This window comes from Homo sapiens, chromosome 10 (genome assembly GCF_000001405.40).
Source record: "Homo sapiens chromosome 10, GRCh38.p14 Primary Assembly".
Taxonomy (NCBI): Eukaryota; Metazoa; Chordata; class Mammalia; order Primates; family Hominidae; genus Homo; species Homo sapiens.
In genome coordinates, this window is record NC_000010.11 from 69,702,574 (window position 1) to 69,711,015 (window position 8,442).

General features: G+C 43.8%; 1 annotated feature.

Moving 5' to 3' along the window:
* Positions 7,178-7,677: an enhancer, noted in NCBI's record as "H3K4me1 hESC enhancer chr10:71469507-71470006 (GRCh37/hg19 assembly coordinates)". NCBI's record gives its function as "activates a minimal SCP1, AML or CMV promoter by ChIP-STARR-seq in naive H9 embryonic stem cells {active_cell/tissue: H9 hESC(naive)}" and the evidence as "EXISTENCE:reporter gene assay evidence [ECO:0000049][PMID:30033119]".

Consider the following 8,442-nt stretch of genomic DNA (forward strand, 5'->3'; position numbering starts at 1 on the left):
ACCGGATTAATGGGTTATCATGGGAGCAGGTCTGGTGGTTTTATAAGAATAGGAAGAGAGACCTGAGCTATCATGCTGTGCACAGCCTCAGGACTCTGCAGAGAGCCCACCAGCAAGGAGGCTCTCACCAAATGTGGCCCCTAGACCCTGGACCTCCCAGCCTCCAGAACTGTAAGAAATACATTTCTTTTCTTTATAAATTTTGCAGTCTCAGGTATTCAGAACAGATAGCAACAGAAAACAGACTGAGACACTATTTCTCTCTCTCTCTTTCTCTATCAAAATAAATATAAGTTCATACTGATATCTCAGACTCCAACCCAACATACATTGAGTTCTTAATTTGGACAATCATACATTTTTTCTCCAACAGTTCAATTGGGTTCATTTGTAGTCTGTCACCCATTTTAAGTGTACCATCTGTTGAGTTTTGACAAACGTATATACACCGTGTAACTGTCACCACCACAATCAAGAGAGAGAGCATTTCTATCGCCCTCAAAGGATCCGTTATGCCATTTTCCAATAAATCCTCACCCCAGCCCCAATCATTGTCTTACATCACTATAGATTAGATTTGTCTTTTCTAGAATTTCATTAAAATCAGAATGGTACATATGTATTCTTTTGTGCCTGGCTTCATTTGTTCACTGTATTAATTTCCTAGGCTGCTTTAACAAAGTACTACAGACTGGGTGGCTTAAAACAACAGAAATGTATTCTCTCACAGTTCAGGAGGCCAGAAGTCTGAAATTATGTTGTCAGTAGAGTTGGTTCCTTCTGGGGGCTCTGAGGGAGACTCCATCCCATGCCTGTCTTCCGGTTTCTAGTGGTTGCTGGCAATTCTTGGAACGGTTTGGTCTGTGGCTGTGTAACCCTAATCCCTGTCTCCATTTTCTCATGGTGTTCTTCTCTATTCCCATGTGCCTTTCAGGAATTTAGCATAACTTCATCTTAACCTGATTACATCTGCAAAGACTATTTCCAGATAAGGTCACGTGTACAAGTACCAGGGGTTAGGATTTCAACATATCTTATAGGGGGACACAATTCAAAACACTCAGCATAACATGTGAGATTCATTCACGCCCCTGTGTGTACATGTAGTTTGTTACTTTTTATGGATAAGTAGCGTTGCACAGCATGTATATACCACAATTTGTTTATCCATTCACTCGTTGTGAACACATGAGCAGTTTCCTGTTATGGCCTATTAGGTTTTGGCCTGTTATGAACGAAGCTGTCCTGAACATTGAGGCGCAAGTCTTCATGTGGACACATGTTTACATTTCTCTTGAGTAAATTCCCAGGAATGGAATGACTGGGTTGTGGAGTATGTACATTTAACTCTTTAAGAAATTGTCAAACTTTCCCGCAAAGTGGTTGTAGTACTTTACATTCCTACCAGCAACTTAAGAGAGAGTTCCAGTTGCTTCACATCCTCATCAATGCTTGGTATTGTCAATCTTTCCATTTTAACCATCTGGGTAAGTCTGTGGTGGGAACTTAACTTGTTGTGGTTTTAATTCGTATTTCTCCTACGACTAATCAAGTTGAGCAACTTTTCATGTGTTTGTTGTCCATTTGCCTATTTTCTTCTGTAGGATACAGTAAATTCCTCTTCAAAGTTTAGCCTGTTAACTTCCTTTAAAATTCAAGAGGGAGAAAAACTGTTAAGTACAATGAGTTCTGAGTTCCTCTTCAAAGAACCAATATGTCAGTATGTTCAGCTTCCCTGTTCTTTGTTCTCCATTTTAAAATTTAACTTCCTTGTTCTTTACCCTCCTTGCCCCTAGTTTTAGTAAACAACCCCTTCCTAGCCTCTATCACCTGTTTTGTCCTTAGGCACCCTTAGTCACCTGCTCTGTAACTGTCCTTCCCACCGAAACTACTCACCCTGCCACTCTGGCTCATATCCCTGCTCTCTTTAAAACAGCCAGTCGGAATTAGCTTAGACTGTGTGGTCCAACCCTAACCAATAGGGGAAAGACACAGCAATAGGGACTAGCTGCATTAGGATAAGAACCCCTTTCCCCTCTCTTGTCTGGTGTGCTCTTGCCATTGCTCCAATTTACCCAATAGAAGTAAATTGCCTTGCTGAGAAAACTTTTGCCTGAGTGCTATTTTCACTTTGTGGCACCGAGCATTTACTTCCAACACTTCCATGAAGTGTCTATTCAACATTTTTACCCATGTTTTATTGGGTTGCTTTTCTTATTATGAGTTTTGAGAGTTCTTGATATATTGTGAAGGTAAGCCTTTTGTTGGCTATACATATTGTATTTTTTCCCTGTGGGTGGCTTGCCTTTTCATTTTCTTTCTTTTTTTTTTTTTTTTTTTTTTCACAGGGTCTAGGTCTGTCACCTAGGCTGGAGTGCAGTGGCACAATCATGGCTCATTGAAGCCCAGACCTCCCAGCTTACAGCTCCTGGTAATTGTTCCTTCTCCTGGTGTTCCTTGCTCAGCCTTGGGATGCTGCACAGACTGGAAGGTTGCCCAAGAAACCCTTTCCCCTCAACCTCCTAAGTTGCTGGAACCACAGGCACATGCCACCACACCTGGCTAATTTTTTTAAGTGTTCTGTAGAGATGGGGTCTCCCTATGTTGCCCAGGCTGGATCTTTACATTTTCTTAAGATATCTTTCCAAGAGCAGAAAAAATCCATTTTAATTAAGTCCAACTTATGAATTTTTTTATTTCATGGTTTATGCTCTTTTGTGTCCTACCTTAAGGGCAAAAAAACTGTCTCCTATATATTCTTCTAGAAGTTTTAGTTTTTGTGCTTTGGTCTGTGTCCATTTTGAGTATTTTTATGCGTGGTGTGAAGCAATGAGGCCGAAGTTGGATTTTTTTTTTTCCTCTATGGCTATCCAATTGCTGCAGCACCATTTGTTGAAAAGGAAATTCTTTCCACATTAAAGTGTCTTAGAATCTTTGTCAAATCAATTTATTACCAGATGCATGTGAATTTATATCTGGATTTTCTATTCTGTTCTATTGATCTATAAATATGCCTATTCTTATGCTAAGATTATATGATCATGGTTACCTTAGCTTAAAATAAGACTTGAAATCAGTTTAAATTTCTAACTTTGCTCTTCTTTTCAATACTCTTTTGGCTATTACAGATTCTTTGTATTTCCATATAAATTTTAGAATCAGCTTGTTAATTTCTACCCAAAAAAAGCCTTCTGGGATTTTATTAGGTTTACATTTGTGAAAGGAAAAAATAAATCTTGGGGACCCCAAATCACTAAGCTGAAAGGAAAAGTCAAGCTGGGAACTGCTTAGTGCAAACCTGCCTCCCATTCTATTCGAAGTCATCCCTTTGCTCACTGAGATAAATGCATATCTGATTGCCTCCTTTGGAAAGGCTAATCAGAAACTCAAAAGATGCAACCATCTGTCTCTTATCTACCTGTGACCTGGAAGCTCCCTCCCCACTTCAAGTGTCCTGCCTTTCTGGATGGAACAAATGTACACCTTACATATATTGATTGGTGTCTCATGTCTCCCTAAAATGTATAAAACCAAACTGTTCCCCAACCACCTGGGGCACTTGTCACCAGGACTTCCTGAGGCTGTCTCCTGGGCGCGCATCCTTAACTTTGGCAAAATAAACTTCCTAAATTGACTGAGATCTGTGTCAGATATTTGGGGTTCACACATTAAATCTGTAGAATAGGGAATAATTGACATGTTTACAGTATTGAATCTTCTGATCTATGAGCACAAAATAGTTTCCATTTGTTTGGTAGTTTTCAGTGTGTAGGTCTTACACATATTTCATTCCATTTATTTCTAAGTATGTTTGGATACTATTGTAAGCGGCATTTTTCCACTTCAACTTCCAGTTATTCATTGCTAGTATATAGAAATGTAATTGATTTCTATATAGTAACCTTGTATCCTGCAACCTTGCTCACCTCACCTATCATTTTAGTAACTTCTTTATATGTTTCTTGAGATTTCCAAAGTACGCAATTGCAATGTTTGAAATAAAGACAGTTATACTTCTTCTTTTCTGATCTGGATGCTTTTATTCTTAACTTATTGCAGAGGCTAAGACTTCCTGCAAAATGTTGAACAGAAATAATGATGGGAGACATATTTTTCAGTAAAAGATGCCAAAATAATAGGATAGCTGTATGAAAACAAATAGGTAAAGAAACAAACAAACACAAAAAACCCACAAAAGCCTCAATGATTCCTAGCCCTGTGTGAGCATTGGGATTTTTTCAGCTTACATCTCCTGGTAATTGTTCCTTCTCCTGGTGTTCTTTGCTCAGCCTTGGGATGCTGCACAGACTGGAATTTAGCCAAGGATTTGAGGGGATTCCATGCAGACTCTTGGAGCCCTTTCTCTGCATAACCTCCTTTTCTCTGGTACTCTGCCCTGCAAATTGCAGGCATCTCAGCCTCCCCAGACTTACATTTCAATCTCTTCAGCTCAGTGAGACCACTGAACTCTGAATTCTCCCACCCTGTTTTGCATTCCAGAAATTGCCTCCATGCAGAAAATTGGGGTAAGGTTGATCTGATCTGTTTGTATTCTTTCAAGTGCTGGGTTTTCTATTAACCTACATCTTAAAACAGTTGTTCTATACATTTCCACCCCAGTTTTCTAGTTGTTTACTAAGGGAGAAAAAGTCTAGACCTTGCTACCTTCTCATGGCATGGTCATTTTTGTTAGTCTCCTATTCTTTGCTCATTTTTTTTTTTTTTTTTGGTTCTGCGAACCCAGAAAATCTGAGACAGGCCTCAGGTAATTTAGAAAGTTTATTTTGTCAGAGTTGAGGATGCGCCCATGACACAGCCTCAGGAGGTCCTGACGACATGCGCCCAAGGTGGTCAGGGCACAGCTTGGTTTTATGCATTTTAGGGAGACATGAAACATCAATCAATATATGTAAGAAGTACATTGGTTCCGTCTGGAAAGGTGGGACAACTTGAAGCAAAGGCAGGAAGACTCAATGTGGGGGAAGGAGCTTCCAGGTCACAGATAGGTGATAGACAAACACACTCTTTTGAGTTTCTGATTAGCCATTCCAAAGGAGGCAAATCAGACATGCATCTATCTCCGTGAGCAGAGGAGTGACTTCGAATAGAATGGGAGGCAGATTTGCCCTAAGCAGTTTCCAGCATGAGTTTTCCTTAGTGATTTTGGGGGCCCAAGATGCTTTCCTTTCACAGTTCCATCTTGTATTTCTTTAAATATTTCAAACAGTTATTTAATTGTCTATATCTGAGAATTCCAACATTTGTAGTCTTTAAGGATTTAAATCTGTGGTGACTTGTATCCTTACGTGTTTGCTAATTTGTGATTGTGACTTAGTCTTTGGGCATCACAAGTCTCTCAGGTGGGAATGCCTTCCTCTAGAGGTGATTTTTGCTTGTTTGGCTGAGAGTCAGAGAAGTACTTCTGACCTGGAACCTCTGTCCCAGACTTTATTTAGGAGTATCCATTTCAGCTCCTCCAACTTGCAGGTGGCTCTCTGCTATTGCCAATAAATGTATTTACCCTCAGGTCAATATCACTGATATGGACAGAAGGCAGGGAAATAGTGGGTATAAGAGTGTGGGGTCCCTGGTGAGGGCTCCATCCTCAAGCCTGGACCTGCAGCCCTAAATGAGACGATGCATTCCTGTTTTCCCACCCGAATGTTGCCTTTTCCAAAACCACTCTGGCCTGCCACGCCCCCAACTCCGTACCCATAAAAACACCAAACTCCACTGGAAGAGGAGCAGAGTGGTGTGGCAGAGGACAGAAGAGAAGTGTCTGAATGTTGAGAGAAGAGGCGGCTAGACATTGGAGACTACGGTTGGAGAGGAGTTCAGCTGGGGATGTTCGGAGAAGGAAGATTATCTTCCCATTCCATCCCCTTTCCAGCTCCCCGTCCCATTGAGAGCCACTTCCATCACTCAATAAAATCCTCTGCACACACCACCCTTCAGTCTGTTCCTGTGGCCTGATTCTTCCTGGATGCCAGACAAGAATTTGGGATGCACTGGGTGCGGAACCCAAAAAGGCTGTCACACTGACTCTTCACTGAGCTGTTTAACACTTAAGCAGTCCACGGACGGCAAAGCTAAGAGCATTGTTTGTAACACATACCCTCTGGGACTCCAGAGGTTGAGGGCAACCCCTAGACACTGCCGGGAGCTGGTATGGGGTTTGTTCCTGCCAGTGCCCAAAGGCACTTGCCCTGGCTCCTGCACCCACTCACCTGTGTACTTCCCCAACTGCAAGGCGTTTGAGGGTGGTGTCCAAGTAAATGAGCCACCCCTCTCACAAGTCCCACAAGGGGGTCAAGGGAACTCTCCCATCTCATCACCTTTGGGTTTCAGCTCCTTGTGAGTTCTTTCCTTTTTTGAATATTTCCCTAACATTCTGCAAGCTCAGAAATGTGTTTTAAAATATGTGTTATCACATATCCAGGCTCTAGTTCTTTAGCAAGAGGGCCTTTCTAAATATCTAGTTTGCCATAATGTTGGAGTTAGAAGTCCTAGTCATCCACTCTCTATCCATCCTTTCATCCATCTGTCACTGATTTTTCTCTGTATTCCTTACTCATTCTCCTTTAGTCACCTCTGTTGTCCCCAGTTCTTTAATGTTTCAGAGAAAACAGAAGATCATTCCCTTTCAGGACTGACACAGTTGAGAAAACATCTCTAACACACTGACCCTCCCTAAAAATGTCCTTCCTCACTTGCCAGCCCTCACCTCCTGCATGGCCATGCTTTATCCTGGCATCTCAGGACCAGTGTTGGAGGAGCTTTCAGCAACAAGAAAGTGCCCTGCTGGCTTCACCCTGTGATTGTGACCCTATGACCTGGAGTTCATGGGCCCAGGGTCACTCTAATGGGGTTGTGGGGAAGGGCACAGAGCCAGGGGTGGGTAGCACCAGGGTGGGGACATGCTGGGATGTTTGGGTCTTGAGAACAGAATCAGCAGGTGCAGCCTGGTCCAGAACAGCCCTGACAACATATGGTCCCAGTCTCTGGAACAAGCCTCGCTTGTTAAAAGAGGAAAACAAAACAGCCCATCCTTCTCTGCGTATGGTTAATGCATGTTTGAAGCTGTGTGACTTCTCGAGGGTCCCAGTGGTGGCCTCTGTGTAGTGTTTGGTCAGGCTGGCTGCCAGCCCATGCCCTATCCCTGGCACCCCCACCCCTCCGTCCCAGTTTCTGTGGCAGTAAATCACTCACATGCTCTCTCTGAAGGGAGAGGTCTGGGACCTCCTGGGCTGGGCAGACAGAGGGCTCCCGGTACAAACATGCTCTGCTTCTTCCCACCAGCAGACAAGCGGCCTCTGCAGTTGAAAAGGATTTGCGGGGAGGTGGAACAGTGGGGGAGATTGTTGGGGTGGTAAAGGAAGAGAGATAATATGAAGCTTGCTCTGTCCAGAGGCCTGCGGGATAAGGTGGGAACCAAGGTCAGTATTTCCTTGGAAAGTCAGTACTTTTCAAACTTAAACGTGCATGGGAATCACCTGGAGGTCTTACTCAGGTGCAGATTCTGATTTGGGAGGTCTAGTGTGGGGCCTGAGATTCTGCTTTCCTAAGAGGCTCCCAGGTGTTGCCCATGCTGCGGGGCCAGAGGCTGTAAGCAGCAGGGCTAAAGGGGCACTTGAGAGAGGCTGGGTGGAGCTGCACCACAGAGTCACTTGGAATGCTTTAAGATATTGTCTGGCCCCACCCCAATCAATTGAAGCAGACTCTGTGCTTGCACCGGGACACCTGTGTGTTTTCTTTTTTAATGCCCCACTCCCTATCTACCCCAGGTGGTTTGAATATGCAGCCAGGATTGAGAACCACTAGGCTAGATTATGGGAGATCATTCTCCACTTTAAAATTAGAGATCTGTGACCACCTAATTTGCTGTCACAGTGGGATGGCTGGAAATGACTTAACATTGTGCTCTTCCCAGGAGCAGCTTCATATTCACCAAGGGTTGGGAGGGGAGTTTTGCTTGGAAGGAATGACAATGGCGGAACTCCAGGGGGAGAACAAAGGACTGGCCGCATCTTGCCGAAATGGCCATGCTATGTGATCTTGTCTCAGCAATTTCATGCCTTGGGCCTCCGTGTCTTGGCCCTGACCAGCACAACTCCTGTTTTGTTCTGTCTGTTCAGCCCAGAATTCCCAGAGGGCTTGGAGCTTTCTACTGATCTGGAAGGTTCTCTTCCCCTCTCTTCTCTTCTGAGTGAAAAAGGCAGCTGGGAGGCCCCCTGCCCTTCTCCCCTCCAGTGATCCGAAGCCATGGCTGAGAATAGTGGGAATGAGGTGCTAATGCCCCCGTCTTGAGTAGATTTTCCCCCCACGGCACACACATCTGGTTTCCATTTTCTTCTGCAGCAGGCCCCATTGAGCAGAGCCTTCCTCTTTGAATCTCCTGAAAAATCATGTCCAGAGGCCAGGTTCAGCCCCCACCCTGACCCC